This window comes from Homo sapiens, chromosome 19, assembly GCF_000001405.40.
Source record: "Homo sapiens chromosome 19, GRCh38.p14 Primary Assembly".
Classification (NCBI taxonomy): domain Eukaryota; kingdom Metazoa; phylum Chordata; class Mammalia; order Primates; family Hominidae; genus Homo; species Homo sapiens.
In genome coordinates this window covers 292820-320209 of record NC_000019.10, presented here as the reverse complement: position 1 = coordinate 320209, position 27390 = coordinate 292820, and the positions used below count along the sequence as shown (strand labels likewise).

Here is a 27390-nt window from a genome sequence, read left to right as displayed (position 1 = left end):
AGAGACCAGGCTTCATCTTGTTGCCCAGGCTGGTCTCAAACTCCTGGCCTCAAGTGATCTGTCCGCCTCAGCCCCCCAGAGTGCCGGGATTACACTCATGAGCCACTGCACCCGGCCTGCAGTAAGGCGTCTTTAAGTGGACACCTGAAACAAGTTTATGTATTGATTGCTTGATGAAAATGCTGTGTATCCCCTGGTGCAGTGATTACATGCTCGCTGTGAGCACCTGGATTAATGAAAATCAACATATACGTATTTAATCCCTTCCCTCCTCAGTTTGATGTGCTCACATTTATGATTTTTGCATGTATGTTCATGGAGGTACTGGCCTGTCCTTTTATTTTTATTTGTCCGTGTCTGGTTTTGGTACCAGAGTTATGCTGCTTTCGTGAATGTGTTTGGAAGTGTGCCTTTTTCCTAACCTCTGGAGGAATTATTCTTTAAGATGTGAGAGGCCAGGAGTGGGGGCTCATGCCTTTAATCCCAGCACTTTGGGAGGCTGGGGTGGGCGGATCACGAGGCCAGGAGTTTGAGAACAGCCTGACCAACATGGTGAAACCCTGTCGCTACTAAAAATACAAAAATTAGCTGAGCGTGGTGGCACGCAACTGTAGTCCCAGCTACTGGAGAGGCTGAGGCAGGAGAATCACTTGAACCCGGGAGGCAGCGGTTGCAGTGAGCCAAGATTTCGCCATTGCACTCCAGCCTGGGTGACAGAGCGAGACTCCGTCTCAAAAACAAAAACAAAAAGTTTTATCAATTGTATTACTCTTTACAAAGGACTAACTTTAGCCTTGTTCATGTCTCCCTGTTGCTGGATTTCTGTTTTTTACTTTTTGTGTGTGTGTGTGACAGGGTCTCGCTCTATTGCCCAGGCTGGAGTTCAGTGGTGCAATATTGACTCACTGGAAACTTCGCCTCCAAGGTTCAAACGATTCTCCTGCCGCAGCCTCCTGAGTAGCTGGGACTACAGGCGCCCGCCACCACGCCTAGCTAATTTTTGTATTGTTAGTAGAGATGGGGTTTCACCATGTTGGCCAGGCTGGTCTCAAACTCCTGACCTCAGGTGATCCACCCACCTTGGCCTCCCAAAGAGCTGGGATTACAGGCATGAACCAGCACCCAGCCTTTTTACTGATTTTTTTTTTTTTTTTGAGACAGAGTCTCACCTGTGGCCCAGGCTGGAGTGCAGTGGCGTGAACTCTGTTCACTGCAAGCTCCGCCTCCTGGGTTCACGCCATTCTCCTGTCTCAGCCTCCCAAGTAGCTGGGACTATAGGCGCCCACCACCACGCCCGGCTAGTTTTTTGTATTTTTTAGTAGAGACGGGGTTTCACTGTGTTAGCCAGGATGGTCTGGATCTCCTGACCTCATGATCTGCCCGCCTCGGCCTCCCAAAGTGTTGGGATTACAGGTGTGAGCCACCGCGCCCAGCCTCCTTTTACTGATTTTTAATTGAATTACACTGTGGTCAGAAAACATACTCCGTGATTTCAGTTCTTTGTAATTAGTTGCACCTCGCTTTATGTCCATTATTTGATCTGTTTTGGTAAATGTTGTACGTGTTTGAAGAGAGTGTGCTGTGCTGTTGTTGGGTGGAATTTTCCGTGTATTCCCTTGGATCCGCTGGATAATTGTTGTTCACATCATCTGTATTCTCACTTAATTTTTTTGGCTGCTTGTTCTATTTACTGAAAGATTGTTAATGACCTCCTCTGATTGTGGATTGTCTATTTCCCCTTTTTAATGCTGTCCATTTTTACTTCACATTGTGTTAAGTGCATACACGTTAAGATTGCTTTGTCTTTGTGTTGAATTGTTTCTTTTACCATTGTGACGTGTCTCTCTGTAGTAACACTTCTTACCGTAAATAAGTACTTAATCTGCCATCAGTGTGACCACAGCAGCTTTTTGTTGATTTGTTTAGTGTTTGCATGGTTTTTTCCCATTCTTTTTTCCATTCTAGATTCCTATATTTGAAGTGTATTTTCTGTAAATGGCACATGTTTAGATCTTGTTTTTTGAGACGGAGTCTCTGGAGTGCATTGGCATAATATCCACTCACTGCAGCCTCCGCCTCCCGGGTTCAAGCAATTCTTCCCCCTCTGCCTCCCAAGTAGCTGCAATTACAGGCGTCCGCCACCATGCCCAGCTAAGTTTTGTATTTTTAGTAGAGATGGGGTTTCACCATGTTGGCCAGGCTGGTCTCAATCTCTAGACCTCAAGTGACCTGCCCACTTCGGCCTCCCAATGTGCTGGGATTATAGGTGTGAGCCACTGTGTCCGACCTAGATCTTATTTTTAATTGTCTGAGAAAACCATTGTCTTTTAATAGACTTTTTAGTCCATGTACATTTTTTAAATCACTTGTATGTCATGTAATTATAAAACAATTGTGTAATGCCACCATCTTGCTCTTTGCTTTCTGTGTGTTCCATCTGTTCTTTGTTTTTTGTTTGTTTGTTTTTTTTTTTTTTTTTGAGACAGAGTCTCACTCTCATTGCCCAGGCTGGAGTGCAGTGATGCGATCTTACTTCACGGCAACCTCCACCTCCCGGGTTCAAGTGATTCTCCTACCTTAGCCTCCCAAGTAGCTGGGATTACACGCATCCGCCACCATGCCTGGCTAATTTTGTATTTTTATTTTATTTATTTATTTATTTATTTATTTATTTATTTTTTCTGAGACAGAGTCTCGCTTTGTCACCCAGGTTGGAGTGCAGTGGCGCGATCTCAGCTCACTGCAAGCTCCGCCTCCCGGGTTCACGCCATTCTCCTGCTTCAGCCTCCTGAGTAGCTGGGACTACAGGCACCCGCCATGACTCCCGGCTAATGTTTTGTATTTTTAGTAGAGACGAGGTTTCACCGTGTTAGCCCGGGTGGTCTCGATCTCCTGACCTCGTGATCCGCCCGCCTCAGCCTCCCAAAGTGCTGGGATTACAGGTGCCCGCCACCGCGCCCGGCCTAATTTTGTATTTTTAGTAGAGATGGGTTGTCTCCATGTTGGCCAGGATGGTCTCGATCTCCTGACCTCGTGATCCGCCCACGTCGGCCTCCCAAAGTGCTGGGATTACAGGCGTGAGCCACTGGACCTGGCCTGTTGTTTGTTTTTTAATTTTTTTATATCTTCTTTTGGATTAATAGGTTTATTTTGTCCTTCTGTTTCAGCTTATAAGTTTTAGTTTTAGCGCTTTAGAGGTTACAACATGAATTATTGACTTATCACAGTCTACATTTTTTTTGAGATAGAGTCTTGTTCTGTCGCCCAGGCTGGAGTACAGTGGTGTGATCTCGGCTCATTGCAACCTCCGCCTCCTGGGCTCAAGCGATTCTCCTGCCTCAGCCTCCCAAGTAGGTGGGACTACAGGCACACGCCACCATCCCCAGCTAATTTTTGTATTTTTAGTAGGGATGAGGTGTCACTGTGTTGGCTATGCTGGTCTTGAACTCCTGACCTCCAGTGACCTCAGCCTCCCAAAGTGCTGACATTACAGGAGTGAGCCACCACACCGGGCCTCACAGCTTGAAATAAGTACATTCTAGTTCCCCTACAATGCAAGAAACAGTTTAACTCAATTTACCTGCCCCCTGCCTTTTGTGCTATCGTTAATTTTACATATGAGCCGGCTGTGGTGGCTCATGCCTATAATCCGAGCACTTTGGGAGGCCGAGGCAGGCAGATTGCCTGAGGTCAGGAATTTGAGACCAGCCTGGCCAACATGGTGAAACCCTGTGTCTACTAAAAATACAAAAATTAGCCAGGCGTGGTGGGCACCTGTAGTCCCAGCTACTCGGGAGGCTGAGGCAGGAGAATCGCTTGAACCCCGGAGATGGAGGTTGCAGTGAGCCAAGATCGCACCACTGCACTCCAGCCTGGGGGACAGAGCAAGACTCCATCTCCAAAAAAAAAAAATCTACATATCACAAGATGATAACATTGTTGTTTTAAACAGTGAACATTCTTTGTATTTATCCTATCCACATATTTCCTCCAGCTTCCATTTGGAATCATTTCCTTCAGCCGGAAGAACTTCCTTTGTAATAGGCCTTGTGCTTTCTTTCAGCATTTTTTTGTCTGAAAAGCCTGGATTTTTGCTTTCATTCTTTAAAGCATATTTTCATGGCATGTTTTTCCAGGTTTGCAGGGTGTTTTCTTTCAACACTTGAAAAATTTCACTCCATTGCGTTTTGGCTGTCATCGTTTCTGTTGAGAAGTCAGAGGACGGTCTTACTCTTTCTTCTGAAGTCATTGTGCCCTTTTCTCTCCTAAGAGTTGTTTCCTTTCCTTTATTTGTTTGTTTTTCACCAGTTTGGCTCTCCTGTGCCTGTGCACACGTCTTCGTGTGTCCTTGTATTCGTCCTGAGTTTCCTGGCTCTGTGGGTTGGTATCAGTCGTCAGTTTTGAAGAATTCTTGGCTGTTACCTCTTCAGATTTTGTGCTGCCTCCTTCTTTGCTTTCTCTGTCACTCATTTACACGTATCTTAGAGGTTGCCTCACTGTCTTGTACTACCCTAAACGGTGTTCTTTCCTTTTACACTTTGGTTTTGGTCTTGTAAACATTGGTTTCCTTTTGATTCCACTAATTGTGTTTTGTGCTGTGTTCAGGCTGCTGGTAAAAAAGCTGTTCAGTGGGTCCATTCGGGTATTGTATTATCCAGTCCTGGAAGGTCCTTGAGATTCTTTTCTATAAATTTCAAGTCTCTGCTGAGACTCTCCGGCGTTTTGTCCATTTCCTTAACGTATTAATCCTCGTTAGATTGAAGTCTTCGTGTGCTGACTCTTAACATCGGCTGTGTGTAGACCTGCTTTGTTGTCTGATGTGTTCTTGTTTTGTTTGTTTGTTTGAGACGGAGTCTCGCTCTTCTCGCCCAGGCTGGAGTGCAGTGGCGCGATCTTGGCTCACTGCAACCTCTGCCTCCCGGGTTCAAGTGATTCTCCTCCCTCAGCCTCCCGAGTAGCGGAGATTACAGGCGCCCATGACCACGCCCGGCTAATTTTTGTATTTTTAGTAGAGCTGGGGTTTCGCCATGTTTGCCAGGCTGGTCTCGAACTCCTGACCTCAGGTGACCCGCCCGCCTCAGCCTCCCAAAGTGCTGGGATGACAGGCGTGAGCCACCACGCCTGGCCTTGTTTTCTTGTTTTATTCTGAGACAGGGTCTTGCTCTGTTTCCCAGGCTGGAGTGCAGTGGTGCAATCATGGCTCATTGCAACCTCGACCTCCTGGGCTCAGTCCCACCTTAGCCTCAATCCCACCGTAGCTGGGACTACAGACGTGCCTGTACTACATTTGAAATTTTTTGTAGAGATGGAGTGTGCGAGTCTCAAACTCTGGCCTCAACCGATCCTCCCACCTCAGCCTCCCAGAGTGCTGGGATTACAGACATGAGCCCTCACATCCGGTTAATGTTTTTCCCTCGTGTTTTCCCACCCTTCACATGCTAGGCTGTATGTGGTGTTCTTTTTCTCCAGAGATGGTCTGCTGTTTTCTTGGAGACCACCTCTGTCCAAGCAGGGCTCAGGTGTCGCCTGTGGAGATGGAGAAAGGTGGCTGTGGTGTCTGCCTGTTTTCCTCATGGCCATGAGGACCGGGAGAGGCCCCTGCTTGGTGGGGCACAGCACCAACCTGGGAGCTAGTTACCGCGTCAGCCCCCGGCAGTGGAGACTCCCGTGTGGAGCTGTTTTCCCCAGTGCGTTTTTCACATTTCTTCCCGTGCACTGATTTTGTTTTTTATTTGTTGGTTTGCTTTGTTTGGGATCCTGTGCCTCTTTCCTGGATAATTGAGAGGTGCTGGCACTTGAGCCTTGCCAGACCTGGCCCTGAGCTCTCCCCTGCCTTGTCCCCAGTCACGTCCCTCACCACAGCTGGAGGCTGCGTCCCTCCCTTTGCCGAAAGCCAATTGCATCTGAGGTCGTGGACTTTTCCTCCCCTCTGTGAGCACATCTGCCATCCACACCAGCTACCGGGGGCAGGATGTCTCCCCAGAGGTGATGCACCTTCTGGCCGTGGCTCTTCAGCTCCCAGGGTTAGAGCGCGACAGTGCCTAACTGTGGGGGCTCCCGCTTGTCCACGGGCCCAAGTCTCAGCTGCCTTTATGCAGAGTCGGGGGCGTCCTTGCTGCTCCCTCAGGCCTCTGCATTTCAGGTGCCCTTGTAGCTGTGCAGCCTGAAGCCAGCCTCACCTCACTGGTCTCACTACTTAGAACCCCCTCTGCAGAGTCCTTGCTTAGAATTCCCCTGCCCCAGATCTAGGCTGTCCACAGCTTCCTCTGACCCCTTGGCTGGATCAGGCGCCCCTGCTGACTGCTCATGGCTCCCTGCACTTGGTCGTTGGGATACAGGCCTGTGTGTGGTGCCCAGAGCCTGCTCTGGACCCACTCGGTAGTTGAATTGAGCACAGCAGCACCAAGCCCAGGAGGAGCACAGGGATGGCGGCCCAGGGCTTGGGAAAGGGAGGACGGACAGTGCCTCCTCCCTGTCAGGGGCTGAGTTGGCTGCTTTGCTTGTCCTGGCGTGTGTGGGTGCAGATTGGGTTCCTGCAAGCTGACCTTTGCCCTCTGCTTGTGCAGTCTACGAGAACGAAGACCAGCTGCTCTGGGACCCCAGCGTCCTCCCTGAGAGGGAGGTGGAGGAGTTCCTGTACAGGGCGGTGAAGCGGCGTTGGCACGAGATGGCCGGGCCTCAGCTCCCAGAGGGAGAAGCCGTGAAAGACAGTGAGCAGGTGGGGGCTGCCATGCCGGGGACAGAGGGGCTGAGGGCTGCCGTGGCGTGGGCCAGAGCTCACACCCCAGTGCCTCCAGGGGCCAGGGAGGGCAGAGGGGAGGGCAGGGGTCAGGTGTGTGGGGGCCAGGGCACTGGAACAGCTACTCAGGTCAGAAGGGGGGCCAATTAAAACCACGTATCAGGGAGGAGGTGTAGACGCCTCCGGGTATCCTGCAAGGGGATGTAGACACCCCTGATGTCACTCCCTGGATAGAGGTGTAGGTGGCCCTGACATCGCCCAGGAGGATGGTGTGGACGGCCCCTGATGCCAGTCCCTGGATAGAGGTGTAGGTGGCTCTGACATCGCCCAGGAGGGTGGTGTGGACGGCCCCTGATGCCAGTCCCTGGATAGAGGTGTAGGTGGCCCTGACATCGCCCAGGAGGGTGGTGTGGACGGCCCCTGATGTCACTCCCTGGATAGAGGTGTAGGTGGCCCTGACATCGCCCAGGAGGGTGGTGTGGACGGCCCCTGATGTCACTCCCTGGATAGAGGTGTAGGTGGCCCTGACATCGCCCAGGAGGGTGGTGTGGACGGCCCCTGATGTCACTCCCTGGATAGAGGTGTAGGTGGCCCTGACATTGCCCAGGAGGGTGGTGTGGACGGCCCCTGATGTCACTCCCTGGATAGAGGTGTAGGTGGCCCTGACATCGCCCAGGAGGGTGGTGTGGACGGCCCCTGATGTCACTCCCTGGATAGAGGTGTAGGTGGCCCTGACATCGCCCAGGAGGGTGGTGTGGACGGCCCCTGATGTCACTCCCTGGATAGAGGTGTAGGTGGCCCTGACATCGCCCAGGAGGGTGGTGTGGACGGCCCCTGATGCCAGTCCCTGGATAGAGGTGTAGGTGGCTCTGACATCGCCCAGGAGGGTGGTGTGGACGGCCCCTGATGTCACTCCCTGGATAGAGGTGTAGGTGGCCCTGACATCGCCCAGGAGGGTGGTGTGGACGGCCCCTGATGTCACTCCCTGGATAGAGGTGTAGGTGGCCCTGACATCGCCCAGGAGGGTGGTGTGGACGGCCCCTGATGTCACTCCCTGGATAGAGGTGTAGGTGGCTCTGACATCGCCCAGGAGGGTGGTGTGGACGGCCCCTGATGCCACTCGCTGGATGGTATAGACAGTTCTTGCTGTCGGCTCCTGCGCTGAGCCCATGGAAGAGCCAACATGTCCTCTCCCCAGGCGCTGTACGAGTTGGTGAAATGCAACTTCAATGTGGAGGAGGCCCTGCGAAGGCTGCGGTTCAACGTGAAGGTGATCCGAGGTGAGCAGCGGTCTGGGCCTTCCTTCCGCTGCGGCCCCGCCCTGGGCACTGCTGACCGTTCTCCCCGGCCTGGGCCTTCCTTCCGCTGCGGCCCCGCCCTGGGCGCCGCTGACCGTTCTCCCCGGCCTGGGCCTTCCTTCCGCTGCGGCCCCGCCCTGGGCGCCGCTGACTGTTCTCCCCGGCCTGGGCCTTCCTTCCGCTGCGGCCCCGCCCTGGGCACCACTGACCGTTCTCCCCGGCCGTGTTTGCAGATGGGCTCTGTGCTTGGAGTGAAGAGGAGTGCAGGAACTTTGAGCACGGCTTCCGTGTGCATGGAAAGAACTTTCACCTGATCCAGGCCAACAAGGTGCGGACTCCACTGCCAGGCTCCACCGGGGGCTTCTCGATCTGGGGAGGGGCTCAGGGTCCGCAGGCACACAGCACACGGCCGACTGGAGGCCTGGAGCCCCGTGTCCTGTGTCCGCCTCCTCACCGTGTGCCCATTGCTGTCTTCTGCATTTTTTGCTACTGACTGCTGTGGGCCCCTTTCCTGTCCCCACAAGAACAAGGCTCTGGCTTTGGGAAAGAATGTGGCAAAAGCTGAATTCTAGTAGTTGTTTCTGCCTCACATTCCACCCCAGGGCCCTGGGCACCTCATCTTCAAGTCTGTGTCCTCTGAGCAGAGCCTGCTGGCTCAGTGTCCAGCATTGGCCCCACAGCAGAACCCCTGACACCTGGAGACCAGGGGTCTCCTGGTTCCCTCCTCCAGGGACCCAGGTCCTGCCACCCGGGACAAACCCTCATGACAGGCAGGTGCTGCCAAGTGCCGGGGCCTTCTGCCCTTCCTTAGACCTTCCCCACGTCCTCTGTGGGTCTCTGCATGTCTGCAGCAGTGCCCTCTGCCCTGTGGCTTCTTGAGTGGTAACTTCCAAGCCAGCCTCTTGGCAGTCAGACATCTCTGGCTGAAAACCTTCCCATGGCTCTGACCAGTGGCTTCTCCGCCTCTGTCCACGCCCCGGTTGGGCACTGAGTCCCTTCAGGACCAGTGGGCTGTGGCCTTGTTGCCGAGCCTTGCTTCTGCCTCGTGTCCTGGGACCGTGCTCCATTTGGGGCCCGATGTCGTCCACTGAAGGGCTTGGGTGAGGAGGCACCTGCCCGGGGCTGGTTGTACGGCTCAGGACATTGCTCAGGTGACTGTGCGGTGCCGTGCGCAGCAGCGATGGACTGTCCTTGTCAGACTCCAGCACCACGTGGTGTTTTGATTGGAGACAGCGGGGCGAGGTGTGGCTGGAGTGTGGTGCTCCCAGGCTACACTTGGAGCCCCTGTCAAGTTTCTGTAGCTCCGGGCCGTGTTTCTGGAGTTGTGGGCCGTGTTTCTGGACTCCTGGCCGTGTTTCTACAGCTCCAGGCTGTGTTTCTGGACTCTGGGCCGTGTTTCTATGGACTCCGTGTTTCTGTAGCTCCGGGCTGTGTTTCTACAGCTCCGGGCCATGTTCCTATAGCTCCGGGCCGTGTTTCTATAGCTCTGGGCTGTGTTTCTGGAGCTTCGGGCTGTGTTTCTGGACTCTGGGCTGTTTCTATAGCTCCGGGCTGTGTTTCTATAGCTCCCGGCTGTGTTTCTGCAGCTCCCGGCCGTGTTTCTATAGCTCCGGGCCGTGTTTCTGCAGCTCCGGGCCGTGTTTCTATAGCTCAGGGCCGCGTTTTTGTAACTCCCGGCCGTGTTTCTGGAGCTCCGGGCAGGTCCTGGCCCAGCCGCGAGGGGCCGTGTGTAGCCAGCACACGTTGGTCAGCCTGAGCCAGTGCGTATTTCACCCTGGCCCTTCACAGAAGAGCTCCCTCGTGGCGTGCGTTTGAGGTTTGCCCTGCAGGGAGGTTGTCTCGGTCTCGCCCCCAGGCAGGACCCCACGTTGTTCTCGCAGCGGTGAGCATGGGGCATCCTCGTTCTGGGTGGCGGTGGGTTAGTTGGCCCAGAGCATGTCCAGGTGAGGGGGTCTTTTCCGCCATCACCAGCAGTGGCCACAGCCTCAAGCTCTCTGTGGGATGAGCCTCCCGGGTGGAGATGTTGGAGGTGTTGCCAGGTGTGCGCCCAGCTCTGTGCCAGGTGCCACATGGAACACACTTGCTGTGTGTCCCTTCTCGTGTCCCTGAAGCCTTGTGTGCGTGTGTGTGTGTGTCCCTTCTCGTCTCCCTGAAGCCTTGTGTGCGTGTGTGTGTGTGTCCCTTCTCGTCTCCCTGAAGCCTTGTGTGCGTGTGTGTGTCTCTTCTCGTCTCCCTGAAGCCTTGTGTGCGTGTGTGTGTGTGTCCCTTCTCGTGTCCCTGAAGCCTTGTGTGCGTGTGTGTCCCTTCTCGTCTCCCTGAAGCCTTGTGTGCGTGTGTGTGTGTGTCCCTTCTCGTCTCCCTGAAGCCTTGTGTGTGTGTGTGTGTGTCCCTTCTCGTCTCCCTGAAGCCTTGTGTGCGTGTGTGTGTGTCCCTTCTCGTGTCCCTGAAGCCTTGTGTGCGTGTGTGTGTCCCTTCTCGTCTCCCTGAAGCCTTGTGTGTGTGTGTGTGTGTGTGTCCCTTCTCGTCTCCCTGAAGCCTTGTGTGCGTGTGTGTGTCCCTTCTCGTCTCCCTGAAGCCTTGTGTGTGTGTGTGTGTGTGTCCCTTCTCGTCTCCCTGAAGCCTGTGTGCATGTGTGTTTGGCCCTTTATGTGCTACGTTGGGAATTTTGTCGGGTTCACAGAACCCATGTGTCCTTCTGCGGTGTCTTCTGTGCACTTGGGAAGCATTCGCTGGGCCCTGGAGGGATGTGTTCGGTGGGAAAGCAGGCGCCGCGGGCTTGTGCCTCTTCCTCCCGGGGAAGGGGCTCAGTCCAGGAGTCTGTGGACCCGGGGGTTGTCACTCCCACTCCCACCCCGGGCCTGTGAGAAGCAGGCAGATGAGGTGGACGCAACTGGCCCGTGGCTCATGGTCTGGGATGGGGTGGGTGAGCAGTAGACAGAGGCCTGGAGGGTACGTTTGTCTGGCTGATGCTACAGAAGGGAAAGGGGTCTCAAGCCAGGAGCTGGAGGGCTCTGAGGGGGCTTGAAACAGGAGGCAGTGCCACAGTGCTCCGAGCCCCTGTTCCCTGTGGTGGGCATAGCCTGTGGCCTGTTAGGGTCATGGGTCGGGGGGTCTTGCGTTATCTGAGAGTGGTGGGTGCTGTGCTCCTTCTGTGCTGTCCCGGGGTCCCAGGACGTCCTGGGATCGTGGTGCAGGTGCTGGGGCTGGGCAGCCGGGGACAGAGATGGCTCCTGACCCCTCCCCGCAGGTGCGCACACGGTCAGTGGGCGAGTGTGTCGAGTACTACTACCTGTGGAAGAAGTCGGAGCGCTACGACTACTTCGCCCAGCAGACGCGGCTGGGCCGGAGGAAGTACGTCCCGTCCGGAACCACGTGCGTGCAGCCCTCCCCAGCAGTAACGACAGGCGGCCACCCCGCCGGGGGTGGGCACGTGGGCGCCTGGGCGGCACCTCTTGGGTGGGGGCGTCTGTCCTGTCTGCCGCCCCTCATGGCGCCCTCTCCCCACAGGGACGCAGACCAGGACCTGGATGGCAGCGACCCCGATGGCCCCGGCCGTCCGCGCCCGGAGCAAGACACCCTGACTGGGATGCGCACAGGTGAGGCTTGGGGAGTATCTCCTGCCCTGGGGGCGGCCACGGGTCTGGAGCCGTGAGTGAGGCCCGGTGGAGCCTCTCCTGCCTGGCGCCCTGTGCTGGGCCAGCCTCGCCAGGAGGAGTGGGCGTCTGGGTGGCGGAGGGCAGCCACGTGATGTGGATGCCGCTCTGTACACCTGGCTGGGAGAGGGGAGGGCAGGGATTACGCTTACCCTCTGGGCTTGCTGGAGGGGTGCATGTGGCCCCACTGCTGGGGAGCCCCGTATGGTGAGGTTGGGGTATTTACCAGGCCTCAGTCTCCGGGGAGGGCCTTCCTGCCCCAGGGTGGGGACTTAGCCCGTCACCAGGACACTCAGGAAGGACAGGGTGTCCGGAGCCGTCGCCAGGATCTTGCACCTGAGGCCATGACGGAGCACAGCAGGGCCTCGGGTAGGGACCATGTCCGATGGTGGTGTCTGATGTGGCGTCCGAAGGTGGAGACCCACACGGGGAGGGTGCAAACGAGGATCCTTTGCTTTCTGGCTCTGTGTTTAGATGGTTGAGTCTGGGAGGGTCCCCCATTTCCAGAGTCTGGTTGTTTCCATGGTTTGTTTGCCAAAGGGTGTCCACCTCGGCTACTTCCTAGAATTGTGGTGAGGCCCCTTGCGCTGCCTGTGGGAACAAAACTTCCAAAGACCCTGTATTAGCCCTCGCAGCGCCCCCGGCATTGTTTACACCTAAGTCTGTGTATTCCACAGACCCTGTATTTACCCTCTGCAGTGCCCCCGGCATTGTTTACACCTATGTCTATTGTATTCTGCTCTTTTTAAAGATGTGGGTTGTGACCCACTGTTGGTCTGATGAACTAAAATCTACTTCTAAAGCTGAGACCCTTAACCTGGGGCTCGCGGATTTCAGTGTAACTGGTGTCTTTTGTATTTGTGTGGAGGCTTTTCTGGGGAGGGATCCACAGGCTTTGCTGGACCCAGCAAAGTTAGGCAGGAGCCTGCACAGGATCCGCGGCTGTGGGCAGGCCCCACCCTCTGTTGCGTTCTCTTTCACAGATCCACTGAGCGTGGATGGCACGGCCGGTGGTCTCGATGAGCCCGGAGTGGCCTCTGATGGACTCCCGTCCTCGGAGCCAGGGCCGTGTTCCTTCCAGCAGCTGGATGAGTCCCCCGCTGTACCCCTGTCCCATCGGCCCCCAGCCCTGGCCGACCCAGCCTCATACCAGCCAGCTGTCACTGCTCCGGAGCCAGACGCCAGCCCAAGGCTGGCCGTGGACTTCGCCCTGCCCAAGGAGCTGCCCCTCATCTCCAGCCATGTGGACCTCAGCGGGGATCCGGAGGAGACTGTGGCCCCAGCACAGGTGGCTTTGTCGGTCACCGAGTTTGGACTCATCGGCATTGGGGACGTGAACCCCTTCCTGGCCGCCCACCCCACGTGCCCGGCCCCCGGGCTACACTCGGAGCCCCTGTCACAGTGAGTGCCACCCCATGCCCGGAGCCTCCGCAACACTCCAACCAGGTCCCCCCAGCCCTCAGGCTGAGCAGAGGAGGGTGGGAGGCATTTGCCCCAAGGACCCGAGGACAGTGTGGCTCCACGAGCAGGCTCTCAGTGTGTCTTTAGGTTTATTCTTTACTTGTATGTATTTTTTGACTGGAGAATACATTCATGTGGTCCACATTCTCCACAAATGGGAGCAGGTGCCAGGCTGTCCCACCCCTGCTCCAGCCACCAGCTCCCCTCAGGGCACCCCGGGCCCGGCTGCCATAGGCTGTGGGGGAGGCAAGGCTGGGAGTCTCGAGTCCAGCGCTCAGCACTGGGCTGTGCAGGCACGTGGGGCCGCACTGACACTCTCTGCGTCTCTCTTGGTCTCTCCCCTGCAGCTGTAACGTGATGACCTGCTGACTCCTGGCCGCGGGCGGCGTATGCGGCCCAGACTGGACTTAGCGCTGCCGCTGGGCCCGCCTCTGTCAGTCTTCCTGACCCCTTCCCCACCCCCCGGGCCTTGGGGTAGCACCTCCTTCTGCTTCAGAACACGTCAGGACTGGGGTGAGGTGGCTGGGCCGTGAGCCCTTGCCCCTGTCCACACAGAATGGACCCACGGCCCCACCCAGCGCCGTCAGCGCCCGGCACTGCCACCCGGGTCCGGGCCGCTGCCTGCACGTGGGATCCGTCGGGCAGCCGGGGACAGAAGAGACCCCGCCGTTGGGACGCAGGGCAGAGCCGGCCACCTAGTCCCTTCCAGCCAGCAGAGGCGAGGGAAGGCGTCACTGCCCCGGCGGGGAGACGGGCAGGACGCCCTGCCCCGCACCAGCAGCCTCCGCCGGGGCGCCCTCAGCTCCCTGCTTGGCTCTGTCTCTCCACACCCGGCAGGGCCGCGGGCTGCCCCAGCCCTGGGGGTCGTGGGCAGCTGCTACTCAGTGCCAACCCCGTGGGGCACAGAGCCATATACCTCGCTGTCCGGCCCCCACCCCAGCCTCGCCTTCCCACCCCATCGTCTCCACTTCAGGAAAAGCCGCACTTTACACCCCCACCTGCCTCTTCCCCCTCCATCCCTGCTCCCCGATCCTGAGCGGTTGGGGTGGGGTCCCTCAGCAACCCCAGGCGTGGGTTTGAGGAGACAGGTGATTTACATCCCCTTTGCTGTCCTCCCCCGGTACCAAGGCAGGGAGCCTCCGGAGGAGCCGGCCCTGCTGGCCACGCAGGGGCCAGACTCCAGCCTGTTTCCCCAGCCCTGCAGGTCTTCCTTCTGTGGGAAGCTTCCTAGCAAGATGGCTTGGAGTCCTGGTCCCCCTCCTCCCTGGCCCTCTCGTTCGTTTCTGTTTCTGTTTACACGTTGGAGTGGGGTCCTCCGTGGGCGGCGGCGCGCCCTGCCCCGGGTGTCGTCCGGCCTCTTGTGCTCGAGCCCCTTTCCGAGTTGGACTCGACCATCCCTCACCCCACCAAGGACCACACTGTGAAGTGATAACTGCCTTGAACCCCCCTTTGCTGTTTTATTTATTAAACTTGATTTGAAGCCCGGGGTGCCTTGTGGTGGATCGGGTGGGGGCTGGGGCGGCAGGTGTCCTCGTCATCTCACTTGGGGGCCTGCATGTCTCTTGGAGGGTCCAGGATAAGTCGTGAGCAACACGGGCGAGGGGGTGCACCGGGGGCATGACGTGGTGGGCTACGTATTGTTCACGTCAGTAAGGGAATTGTGGCCACGATGACGGGATGTGAGGAGGGCCCACGTCTGGGTAGAGGTGGTCGGGGCAGCCTCCTAGAAGTGATATTTAAGCTGAAACATGAAGGAGAATGGGCCTCCTTTGCTGAAAGTTTGCCGAGAGGCCTGGCAGGCGTGACAGCAGATGCAGAGGACAGAGGCCTGGGTCTCCAGGAGAAGCTGAGGGCACAGAGGGCAGAGGTTGGGCGGGGTGGGGACAGTAGGTCATGAGGCCAAGTTTTGTTCTTGGTGTGGAAGCCACTTTAGGTCTGCATTGTTTTTTTGTTTTGTTTTGCTTTTTTTTTTTAGACAGGGTCTCACACTGTCGCCAGGCTGGAGTGCAGTGGTGCGATCTCGGCTCACTGCAACCTCCGCCTCCTGAGTTCACGCGATTCTCCTGCCTCAGCCTCCCGAGTAGCTGGGATTACAGGCGCCCGCCACCTGGGATTACGGGCGCCCGCCACCATGCCCAGCTACTTTTTATATTTTTTGTAGAGATGGGGTTTCTCCTTATTGCCCAGGATGGTCTCTATCTCTTGACCTTGTGTTCTCCCGCCTCGGCCTCCCAAAGTGCTGGGATTACAGGCGTGAGACATCGCGCCCGGCTGAGGTCTGCATTGTTAATAGCGCCCTGCAGGGACGGTGCAGGCTGGTTGGGTTGCATATTGTCCACATCAGTGAGGGAAATGTGGGCATGCATGGTGATGGGATATGGGGAGGGCCGGCCCCCAGCTGGGAGGTGACTGTGGCTTGGCCTCAGGGACTATTGGTGAAGGACCAGGACCACTTGCATGATGGGTGTGGGAGAGTCAGGGGTCTTGCTGGTGAGCCTGTGCCAGGAGCTGTGAGAACCAGGGCCAGCCACTCGGCAACCTGGGTGTTTGGGGATGGGCATAGAGGAGTTTTCATTGGAGCGCCGCAGCCTGCTGACGTTTTCTTCAGATGTGCAAGGTCTTCTGTCTTCCAGCTTGCCCTGCCTCCAGCAGGAAATCTTCAGTCCTCTCTTGGTTTTTTTCCTCCAACTGCTTTGAAGATTTTTCAGTACCACTGGTTTTGAGCAGTCTGATGAGGATGTGCTTTGGTGTATTGAGGTGTCTGATGAGGGTGTGCTTTGGTGTATTGAGGAGTCTGATGAGAATGTGCTTTGGTGTATTGAGGTGTCTGATGAGGATGTGCTTTGGTGTATTGAGTCTGATGAGGATGTGCTTTGGTGTATTGAGTCTGATGAGGATGTGCTTTGGTGTATTGAGGTGTCTGATGAGAATGTGCTTTGGTGTATTGAGTCTGATGAGGATGTGCTTTGGTGTATTGAGGTGACTGATGAGAATGTGCTTTGGTGTATTGAGGTGTCTGATGAGGGTGTGCTTTGGTGTATTGAGGTGTCTGATGAGGATGTGCTTTGGTGTATTGAGGAGTCTGATGAGGATGTGCTTTGGTGTATTGAGTCCGATGAGGATGTGCTTTGGTGTATTGAGGTGTCTGATGAGAATGTGCTTTGGTGTATTGAGTCTGATGAGAATGTGCTTTGGTGTATTGAGTCTGATGAGGATGTGCTTTGGTGTATTGAGGTGTCTGATGAGAATGTGCTTTGGTGTATTGAGTCTGATGAGGATGTGCTTTGGTGTATTGAGGAGTCTGATGAGGATGTGCTTTGGTGTATTGAGTCTGATGAGGATGTGCTTTGGTGTATTGAGGTGTCTGATGAGAATGTGCTTTGGTGTATTGAGTCTGATGAGAATGTGCTTTGGTGTATTGAGTCTGATGAGGATGTGCTTTGGTGTATTGAGGTGTCTGATGAGAATGTGCTTTGGTGTATTGAGGAGTCTGATGAGGATGTGCTTTGGTGTATTGATGAGGATGTGCTTTGGTGTATTGAGGTGTCTGATGAGGATGTGCTTTGGTGTATTGAGTCTGATGAGAATGTGCTTTGGTGTATTGAGTCTGATGAGAATGTGCTTTGGTGTATTGAGTCTGATGAGGATGTGCTTTGGTGTATTGAGGTGTCTGATGAGAATGTGCTTTGGTGTATTGAGGTGTCTGATGAGGGTGTGCTTTGGTGTATTGAGGAGTCTGATGAGGATGTGCTTTGGTGTATTGAGTCTGATGAGGATGTGCTTTGGTGTATTGAGGTGTCTGATGAGGATGTGCTTTGGTGTATTGAGTCTGATGAGGATGTGCTTTGGTGTATTGAGTCTGAAGAGGATGTGCTGTGGTGTATTGAGGTGTCTGATGAGGATGTACTTTGGTGTATTGAGGTGTCTGATGAGGATGTGCTTTGGTGTATTGAGGAGTCTGATGAGGATGTGCTTTGGTGTATTGAGTCTGATGAGGATGTGCTTTGGTGTATTGAGGTGTCTGATGAGAATGTGCTTTGGTGTATTGAGGAGTCTGATGAGGATGTGCTTTGGTGTATTGAGGAGTCTGATGAGGATGTGCTTTGGTGTATTGAGGAGTCTGATGAGGATGTGCTTTGGTGTATTGAGTCTGATGAGGATGTGCTTTGGTGTATTGAGGAGTCTGATGAGGATGTGCTTTGGTGTATTGAGTCTGATGAGGATGTGCTTTGGTGTATTGAGGTGTCTGATGAGAATGTGCTTTGGTGTATTGAGGTGTCTGATGAGGGTGTGCTTTGGTGTATTGAGTCTGATGAGGATGTGCTGTGGTGTATTGAGGTGTCTGATGAGGATGTGCTTTGGTGTACTGAGGTGTCTGATGAGGATGTACTTTGGTGTATTGAGGTGTCTGATGAGGATGTGCTTTGGTGTATTGAGGAGTCTGATGAGGATGTGCTTTGGTGTATTGAGGAGTCTGATGAGGATGTGCTTTGGTGTATTGAGTCTGATGAGGATGTGCTTTGGTGTATTGAGTCTGATGAGGATGTGCTTTGGTGTATTGACGAGGATGTGCTTTGGTGTATTGAGGTGTCTGATGAGGATGTGCTTTGGTGTACACGTACAGTATGTAGCCTTTGAGATTGGCTTCTTTCATATTCACTGAAGGCTTCGCCATGTCTTTTCGTGGCTTGATGGCTCATTTCTTTTTCGCGCTGGATGATACTCCATCCTGGGCGTGTGCTGCAGCTTGTTTATCTACGTACCTATTGAAGGACATCTTAGCTTCCAAGCTTCGGCAGTTACGCGTAAAGACATCTTAGCAGCTTCCAAGCTTTGGCAGTTACACATAAAGACATCTTAGCAGCTTCCAAGCTTCAGCAGTTACTCATAAAGCTGCTGTAAACGCCCATGTGCAGGTTTTTGTTTTGACACAACTTTTCAGCCCATTTGGATGAATAAAGAAACCTGATTGCCGGACCGTGTGATGAGACCGTGTTTAATGAGAAGCTGCCATTTCACTCCCACCAGCAATGAGTAAGCGCTCCTGAGGCCCATGTCCTCCCCAGTGTTTGGTGGTGTCAGTATTTTGTGTTTGGCCATTCGAATAGGTGTGTAGTGGGATCTTGTTTTCCATAGCCTTTGAAGATGTGTACATTTTCGTACCTTTCTGGCGCTCTTAAGTTCTTCATTCAGACTCCGTGTTGCCAAGAGGGATAATTTTCTTTGAGTCTGAAGTGCCGTATTTAATATATATTGCCTTGTAGTTCCTCTGCAGTGACATTCTGCCTAGGCTTAGCTCTTACGTGGATCAAAAGGCCCTAATTCCTCCTCCTCTTTTGAAGTGCATTTTTACAGGATATACGGTTCTAAGTGGACTGTGTTTTTCTCTGCGCATGTTAAGGTGGTTCTATTCATGCTGTTTTCTACTGTTCTGATGAGGAATTTTCTCATTCTGTTTTCCTTACTGTGAAATCTCTTACTTCTGACTATATACATGATTTTCTTTTATTTTTGGACTTTGGCCGTTTGTGATGCACCTGGGTCTAGCTTTCTAAACTGAGCTACTTCGACCTGAGGGTGGGTGCATTTTAACAGATTTTGAAGTCTTGACTGTTATTTCTGCAGATATTTCTGTTTTCTTTTGCTTTCTTAGAGTTCCATTTCTGAAGGAGTATTTCTCAAATTTTTCTGATGTCCCACTCTGTCTTTTGGGTCTTTGGTACATGTGCCCTGTCCTGGGTGCTGTCCCACAGTCTCTCCAGTCACTGGTGTCACGGCCCTGGGTGTCCCACAGTCCCTCCAGTCACTGGTGTCACGGCCCTGGGTGTTGTCCCACAGTCTCTGCAGTCACTGGTGTCACGGCCCTGGGTGTCCCACAGTCTCCAGTCACTGGTGTCACGGCCATGGGTGTCCCACAGTCTCTCCAGTCACTGGTGTCACGGCCATGGGTGTCCCACAGTCTCTCCAGTCACTGGTGTCACGGCCATGGGTGTCCCACAGTCTCTCCAGTCACTGGTGTCACGGCCCTGGGTGTCCCACAGTCTCCAGTCACTGGTGTCACGGCCCTGGGTGACCCACAGTCTCTCCAGTCACTGGTGTCACGGCCATGGGTGTCCCACAGTCTCCAGTCACTGGTGTCACGGCCATGGGTGTCCCACAGTCTCTGCAGTCACTGGTGTCACGGCCCTGGGTGACCCACAGTCTCTCCAGTCACTGGTGTCACGGCCCTGGGTGACCCACAGTCTCTCCAGTCACTGGTGTCACGGCCATGGGTGTCCCACAGTCTCTCCAGTCACTGGTGTCACGGCCATGGGTGTCCCACAGTCACTGTCACTGGTGTCACGGCCATGGGTGACCCACAGTCTCTCCAGTCACTGGTGTCACGGCCATGGGTGACCCACAGTCTCTCCAGTCACTGGTGTCACGGCCCTGGGTGTCCCACAGTCCCTCCAGTCACTGGTGTCACGGCCATGGGTGACCCACAGTCCCTCCAGTCACTGGTGTCACGGCCATGGGTGTCCCACAGTCTCTCCAGTCACTGGTGTCACGGCCCTGGGTGACCCACAGTCCCTCCAGTCACTGGTGTCACGGCCATGGGTGTCCCACAGTCCCTCCAGTCACTGGTGTCACGGCCCTGGGTGTCCCACAGTCTCTCCAGTCACTGGTGTCACGGCCCTGGGTGACCCACAGTCCCTCCAGTCACTGGTGTCACGGCCATGGGTGTCCCACAGTCTCTCCAGTCACTGGTGTCACGGCCATGGGTGTCCCACAGTCCCTCCAGTCACTGGTGTCACGGCCATGGGTGACCCACAGTCCCTCCAGTCACTGGTGTCACGGCCATGGGTGTCCCACAGTCCCTCCAGTCACTGGTGTCACGGCCCTGGGTGTTGTCCCACAGTCTCCAGTCACTGGTGTCACGGCCCTGGGTGTTGTCCCACAGTCTCTGCAGTCACTGGTGTCACGGCCCTGGGTGTCCCACAGCCTCCAGTCACTGGTGTCACGGCCATGGGTGTCCCACAGTCTCTCCAGTCACTGGTGTCCCGGCCATGGGTGTCCCACAGTCTCTCCAGTCACTGGTGTCACGGCCATGGGTGTCCCACAGTCTCTCCAGTCACTGGTGTCACGGCCATGGGTGTCCCACAGTCACTGTCACTGGTGTCACGGCCATGGGTGACCCACAGTCTCTCCAGTCACTGATGTCACGGCCATGGGTGACCCACAGTCTCTCCAGTCACTGGTGTCACGGCCCTGGGTGTCCCACAGTCACTGTCACTGGTGTCACGGCCATGGGTGACCCACAGTCTCTCCAGTCACTGATGTCACGGCCATGGGTGACCCACAGTCTCTCCAGTCACTGGTGTCACGGCCATGGGTGTCCCACAGTCTCTCCAGTCACTGGTGTCACGGCCCTGGGTGTCCCACAGTCTCCAGTCACTGGTGTCACGGCCATGGGTGTCCCACAGTCACTGTCACTGGTGTCACGGCCATGGGTGACCCACAGTCTCTCCAGTCACTGGTGTCACGGCCATGGGTGACCCACAGTCTCTCCAGTCACTGGTGTCACGGCCATGGGTGTCCCACAGTCCCTCCAGTCACTGGTGTCACGGCCATGGGTGACCCACAGTCCCTCCAGTCACTGGTGTCACGGCCATGGGTGTCCCACAGTCTCTCCAGTCACTGGTGTCACGGCCCTGGGTGACCCACAGTCCCTCCAGTCACTGGTGTCACGGCCATGGGTGTCCCACAGTCTCTCCAGTCACTGGTGTCACGGCCCTGGGTGACCCACAGTCCCTCCAGTCACTGGTGTCACGGCCATGGGTGTCCCACAGTCCCTCCAGTCACTGGTGTCACGGCCATGGGTGTCCCACAGTCCCTCCAGTCACTGGTGTCACGGCCCTGGGTGACCCACAGTCCCTCCAGTCACTGGTGTCACGGCCCTGGGTGTCCCACAGTCCCTCCAGTCACTGGTGTCACGGCCCTGGGTGACCCACAGTCCCTCCAGTCACTGGTGTCACGGCCATGGGTGTCCCACAGTCCCTCCAGTCACTGGTGTCACGGCCATGGGTGTCCCACAGTCACTGTCACTGGTGTCACGGCCATGGGTGACCCACAGTCTCTCCAGTCACTGGTGTCACGGCCCTGGGTGTCCCACAGTCCCTCCAGTCACTGGTGTCACGGCCCTGGGTGACCCACAGTCACTGTCACTGGTGTCACGGCCATGGGTGTCCCACAGTCCCTCCAGTCACTGGTGTCACGGCCATGGGTGTCCCACAGTCACTGTCACTGGTGTCACGGCCATGGGTGACCCACAGTCTCTCCAGTCACTGGTGTCACGGCCATGGGTGACCCACAGTCCCTCCAGTCACTGGTGTCACTGCCATGGGTGTCCCACAGTCCCTCCAGTCACTGGTGTCACGGCCCTGGGTGACCCACAGTCTCTCCAGTCACTGGTGTCACGGCCCTGGGTGTCCCACAGTCTCGCCAGTCACTGGTGTCACGGCCATGGGTGTCCCACAGTCCCTCCAGTCACTGGTGTCACGGCCATGGGTGTCCCACAGTCCCTCCAGTCACTGGTGTCACGGCCCTGGGTGTCCCACAGTCTCGCCAGTCACTGGTGTCACGACCATGGGTGACCCACAGTCCCTCCAGTCACTGGTGTCACGGCCATGGGTGTCCCACAGTCTCTCCAGTCACTGGTGTCATGGCCATGGGTGACCCACAGTCTCTCCAGTCACTAATGTTACAACCCTCGGTGTTGCCTCACAGCTCTCTCTTTTATTTTTCTCTCTCTCTGTGCTTCTGTTTGAATAATTTCTTTTTTTTTTTTTTTTTTTTGGGAGACGGAGTCTTGCTCTGTCACCCAGGCTGGAGTGCAGTGGCATGATGTCGATGATGTCGGCTCACTGCAACCTCCATCTCCTGGGTTCAAGCGATTCTCCTGCCTCAGCCTTCCCAGTAGCTGGGATTATAGGTGTGCGCCACCACACCCGGCTAATTTTTGTTTTATTTTTAGTAGACACGGGGTTTCACCATATTGGCCAGGCTGGTCTTGAATTCCTGACCTCGTGAGCCACCTGCCTCGGCCTCCCAAAGTACTGGGATTACAGGCGTGAGCCAGTGTGCCCGGCCTCTGAATAATTTCTATCGACATGTCTTTGATGCTACCAATCCTCTTTTCTGATATTCCAGATTTCTATTTAGTCTGTTTCACAAAATTTTTATTTCCCATATTGTATATTTTAATAGGTGCTCTTATGTGTTTTTAATTTTTCTGCTGAAATTCTCCATTTTCTCACCTTGCCCCTATCTTTTCTTCTGTAATCTTTAACCTTTTAATAATAGTTACTTTAAATCATTGTCATCCTATTGCTTTGCTTTTTTTTTTTTTTTTTTTTTTTTGAGACGAGGTCTCGCTCTATCGCCCAGGCTGGAGTGCAGCGGCGTGAACTCGGCGCACAGCAACTGCCACTTCCCAGGTTCAAGTGATATTGTCCTGCCTCAGCCTCCCGAGTAGCTGGGACTACAGGCACCCACCACCATGCCCGGCTAGTTTTTGTATTTTTAGTAGAGACGAGGTTTCACCATGTTTGCCAGGATGGTCTTGAACTCCTGACCTCAGGTGATCCACCCGCCTCGGCCTCCCAAAGTGCTGGGATTACAGGCGTGAGCCACTGAGCCCAGCCCTTTTTTTCCTTTTCTTTTTCTTTTTTTTTTTGAGACGGCGTCTCGCTTTGTTGCCCAGGCTGGAGTGCAGTGGTGTGATCTCAGTTCACTGCAACCCCTGCCTCCCAGGTTTAAGTGATTCTCCTGCCTCAGCCTCCGGAGTAGCTGGGATTACAGGCGCACACCACCACACCGCACACGCTGCCACGCCCGGCTAATTTTTGTATTCTTAGTAGAGACGGGCTTTCACCATGTTGGCCAGGCTGGTCTCAAACTCTTGACCTTGTGATCTGCCCTCCTCGGCCTCCCAAAGTGCTGGGATGACAGGCGTGAGCCGCTGTGCCCAGCCCGAAAGTTATACTCTTAAGACCCAGTCCGGGGATGCCAGGGCCTCCAGAAACAGGAATCAGGAGTCACCATCCACATTATGATGTTTCGGTGCTTCTATTTCTCTGCTGCCCGAACTGACCTTCTTCTCAGGGGCAGCGCCCTTTGTGGCGACTGAGATGGCACCAGAAGCTCCAGGCACACAACCTTACATCTGTGATTTCTGTGGGAAGCCTGTATCTTGCCCAACTGTTCTAACAAAACTCCTGGGTAAAATTTGTTCTTGGGTCTCGTGCCCATAACTGAATCAGGAACTGCCGAGCAGAAGGGGTTTCCTGGTTGGCCAGGCCAGGGTCCCTTGTTCCCCTTCGGTAGCAGGGCAGGCCCCATGGAGAAGGAATAGTAAGAGGGAGGAGCACATGGGCAGGCCGGGCGCAGCCACCCAGAGGCATGAGCGTCCCATTTGTGTGGGGTGAGCACAGAGGTCAGGAGGGCAGTGCAGGAACAACTTCCCTCTTAGGCCAAGAAATCTGAAACTGGGAAGGCAGTGGGGAGCCTTAGTGTGTTTTTTAGCTGAAGTAGAGTCACGCTTTAGGGAGATTGGATTTGACTGGAATATCTAAGATAGGTTGGAGCTGGGAGAGACCCTGGGATGCCATTGTTGACTAATATTCTGTTCTTGTCCATGGTGTCTTGTGTTTCTGAGGGTGCACTAGATGTGGGTAAGACAGTTAAGGAGCAGAGGGGATACTGTTTTGCCTCAGGAAGGGCTTGCCCCTCTCCTGTCAGCAGCTGGGTTGATGTGCTGGTCTCGAGGAGCTGGGCTGGCCTGCTCACCGCTTGTGTAGCGTAGCTTTGCCTCTGGGTTAGCTGTGGGGTGGTGGAATCCTGCCCTTCCTGCAGCCCAGACCCAGGCAGGAGGACCTGGAGGGCCCGCTGTGCCTTGGGGCTCTTCCGGATTTGTCTGACACCAGGCTCCTAGGACTAATGAGGCCTCCACCAGACTTGGTCTTGACTAACCTCAGGGGAGCTCATACCTCTCTAGAACAAACTTACTGTCCTCAGCTTTTCGGCAGCCATAAATAAAAGTCATTTGTGTTCGTTTATTTAATGCTTTCCTTTTACAGTGAAGTGAAGGTCTTTGATGACCTCCTTCCTACCTGCTAACCAAATATGGAAATCTGTTCTGGACAGAGTCCATGGCCGTGCCAGGAAGCAGGCGTTAGCCAGGGGCCTGCCTGGAGATCAGCCCTCCTGAGACAATTTCTGTGGGGGTGGAAGTGGGGGAGGGAGAAAGTCGCTCAGAACTGATGGTCCTGGACCGGCCACGGTCCCCAGAGCCTCAGCCTCCCAGGCCCAGGCTTTGTTGAAGATGTCCGGGCCCTGGACTGGCGCTGTCTGGGCCCCCACTGACCTGACCCAGCTGTTTCTCTCTCCCTGATGGTCCTTGTTTTCTCGGTTTGTAGTTCCTGGGTAGGATGGCCAGATAAAATACAGGATGCCCAGTTGGGCTCGGATTACAGATAAACGAATGTGTAAGTATGTCCCATGCAGTATTCGGGACACATACTGAAAACCGGTTTGTTGCTCTTCTGGGATTCAAATGTAACGGGGTGTCCTGTTTGTTTCACAGGTATCAGGACTCAGCTAGGGGGTCCTTGATGTTTATTTGCCCCATTGCTGGGCTGTTCTCAGGAGGATGTTGAGACCCTGGCGTGGAGCGCCTCCTCGGCGTGTCCAGCAGAGGGCGGCCGTGCCTCCCGGAGGCATCGCGGGGCCCAGAGCGCAGCCCAGCCCCGTCCCCTGGTCCTGTGGCTCGAGGTCGGGGAGGGAGGGGCGGTGGTCGCTGCGGGGCAAATGTTTCCACTCACCCGGAGCCACGACCCACGGCCTGTGCAGGGAGAGTCGAAAGCGCGGCCCCCGGTGAGCACTTGGGAGGTGAACCGGTTCCCCGCCCTGGTGGGCTGTCACCAGTCACATCAAGAGATGCAGGACGGCGGTGGCCTCACCAGAGGCATTACGAGTTCTCTGGAGCCCCTCCGCCACCACCGTCCTTGTTCTTCCTTGAGTCGGAACCAGGTCCTTGGGGTCTGTGGGTGCTCAGTGGCTTTGCAGACCTGCAAAGATTTGAGGTCTTCCAGGTGCCTCTCCTTGCCTTCACCAGATGCTGGTTTCGGGGGCAGGGATAGGGCTGCCAGGCATCAGGAAGGTTTGTGAACGGGGATTTAATCGAGTGTTTCGCGGGGTGGCCCCTGCCATCTCTGCCCCTCGTTTTGTACGAGAAGCAGGCGGAAACCAGCTCTCCCTTTGAGAACGCACTGTTGCCCTCCGCTGTTGCTTGTGTGTCTTGCCTTGCTGTGACCCAGGGAGAGCTCCCTGCAGCTGTCAGCTCCCTGGTGACCTCAGGCTCTGGGCATCCCAGTAAGCACGGCTTGCGCACCCACTGTGTGCCAGCTCCCACTTTCCTGGAGCTCGTGGGAGGAGACGGGGACAGTGAACGAACGCACAGACTGAGATGGTGGGAGGGGCTGTGCGTTCCGGGTTGTCTGCACGAGGGGCTCTGGCAGGGGGGCCGCGTCCCGGCTTGTCTGCGCGAGGGGCTCTGGCGACCACGTCCAGCACTACTGCTGTGTGTTTTTCTTTGCTGTGACCCAGTGAAGACCTCCTCACAGACAGAGCACAGCAGACTCGCGGTGCTGAAACCCGGAGGGTTACCCTGTCCCTGACTGACTGTAAGGTTACACTAAATTAAGAGGCACTCCAAGGATTGCAAAGTCCGAGGGGAATTTTGAATTCGTGGGTCCTGGATTGTGAATTTGAAGGCAGCGGTTTCCAACCCTTTTAAATCTTGACCCCAGGAAGAAGTACCTTCTACATCTTGACCCAGCAAACACGTGATACCTACCCACACTGTATTTTGTTCAATTAACCCTCAAATGATGTTTCCTAATGTTTGGCCCTGGGTCAAGCATTTCACAAACTATTTAATCTTCTCTACAATCCCAGGTGGTAGCTACTGTCTTGCCGCCTTTATGCAGACAGAGACTGAGGGATACCTTAGATGTCTTTCCAAACCATCCACCCCCTCAGCCTTCCCTGCCCACTGCCTGCACGTCAAACCCACTGACGGGCACTCGTTCGACTCCAAGAGCCCCGTGCCAGGAACCTGGGAGACAACTCCCGTTTTGACTCTGGGCAAGGTACTTCACCTCTCAAGTCCCAGAGAAGCAGAGAAAGCAACGGCAGGTATAGTGGCTGGCTGCACTTAGGTGGCACCTACTGTGTGCCAGGCCCCCTTCTGCCCACTTCACAGGTGTCTTAGTCTCCATAGAGTCCATTTGGAAACAGGCCCGGAGCCATCCAGGTTGCGATGAGGCACCAAGGTGGCAGAGCCAGTGCTGGGCAAGAGGCGGGAGCTGCAGTTGCTGAACCCGTGAGCTTGCTTGCCTGGGAGTGGCGACCTGGCCCTCAGGGGTTGCTTGTCTCTAGGGGACCCAGCCTGGGTACATGTACCACCACCCGCTTCCAGCTCTGCTATTTGCAGGTGAAGGAGAAAGCCACTGAGGCCTGGCCTCCAGGCCAGGCTCTGTCCCTGCTGGGAGCTGCCCTGGCCTCAGGTTCTTCCTGGAAGGGAGGACCAGGCAGCTGGGGGCAGCAGCAGATCCAGCTATGAAAGCCGTGACAAGAAGTTCCTTGAAGTGTGGTGGGCTGCAGTCAGCATATGTAGGAGACGACCCCAATCCTGACCCTAATCCTAATTCTTGCTTTCCCCACCAGATTTTAATCCTTATCCTGCCCAGGGATTTTAAGGGCTAACCCAAATCCTGACCCAAGGGGAAGGATGGAAGGGGGAACAGCCTGCAGCCTCACCTCCACCCTCTATCCTCCCAGGTCTACCTCCACCCCTCTCCTGGGTCTCTCCCTCTTGGCTTGGCCCCATCCCACAGCCCCCACTGTCTTCCCCCCGCTCCCACTTTGGCAGGCCCCTCCAAGTGACCTCTCCCTTGCTCCCCAGCACACAGTAGGTGCTCAATGAAGAACACCGCCTTTCCTTGACTCCAGTAGATGTTGCACCCTCTCCATCTTAGGAGAAAATGTGCGTTGGCTGTCAAGACTACACTGACAGCAGTGGTCACTCATTTGCAGACAGGGTGAAGTGTGGGGGAAAGCGCAGTAGTGACGCTGAACCCTACATTTATGTAGCATTGATGCTAGGCACCAGAACCCTCACAATCCTAATTCCGACGGG

General features: G+C 55.3%; 2 protein-coding genes across 21 annotated transcripts in view, besides 2 other annotated features; both read left to right on the top strand.

The window, feature by feature from the left end:
- Nucleotides 1-14637, top strand: part of MIER2 (MIER family member 2) — a 39224-nt gene extending 24587 nt beyond the window's left edge. For 10 of the 20 annotated variants that reach the window (XM_047438972.1, XM_047438970.1, XM_047438978.1 and 7 more), the window contains 7 exons: nt 6567-6718; nt 7938-8019; nt 8271-8365; nt 11285-11409; nt 11545-11633; nt 12674-13091; nt 13484-14637. In XM_047438972.1, coding sequence (XP_047294928.1) covers nt 6567-6718; nt 7938-8019; nt 8271-8365; nt 11285-11409; nt 11545-11633; nt 12674-13091; nt 13484-13520 — 998 coding nt within the window. In that variant the 3' untranslated portion in view covers nt 13521-14637. The remainder of the gene's footprint in view (nt 1-6566; nt 6719-7937; nt 8020-8270; nt 8366-11284; nt 11410-11544; nt 11634-12673; nt 13092-13483) is intronic. The other 10 variants (NM_001346105.2, NM_001387157.1, NM_017550.3 and 7 more) reach the window with 3 other exon arrangements.
- Nucleotides 11530-11730: a silencer, noted in NCBI's record as "peak3203 fragment used in MPRA reporter construct". NCBI's record gives its function as "represses an SCP1 promoter by STARR-seq MPRAs in K562 erythroleukemia cells {active_cell/tissue: K562}" and the evidence as "EXISTENCE:reporter gene assay evidence [ECO:0000049][PMID:32103011]".
- Nucleotides 14638-15848: 1211 nt separating the features above from the next.
- LOC124904605 (uncharacterized) lies at nt 15849-18128 on the top strand (the record flags this gene model as incomplete). Its single annotated transcript, XM_047439789.1, has 2 exons — nt 15849-16817; nt 16884-18128. Coding segments are annotated over 2 exons (1875 nt in total), but the record flags the coding sequence as incomplete, so codon positions are not given.
- Nucleotides 25364-26213: an enhancer, noted in NCBI's record as "H3K4me1 hESC enhancer chr19:293997-294846 (GRCh37/hg19 assembly coordinates)". NCBI's record gives its function as "activates a minimal SCP1, AML or CMV promoter by ChIP-STARR-seq in naive H9 embryonic stem cells {active_cell/tissue: H9 hESC(naive)}" and the evidence as "EXISTENCE:reporter gene assay evidence [ECO:0000049][PMID:30033119]".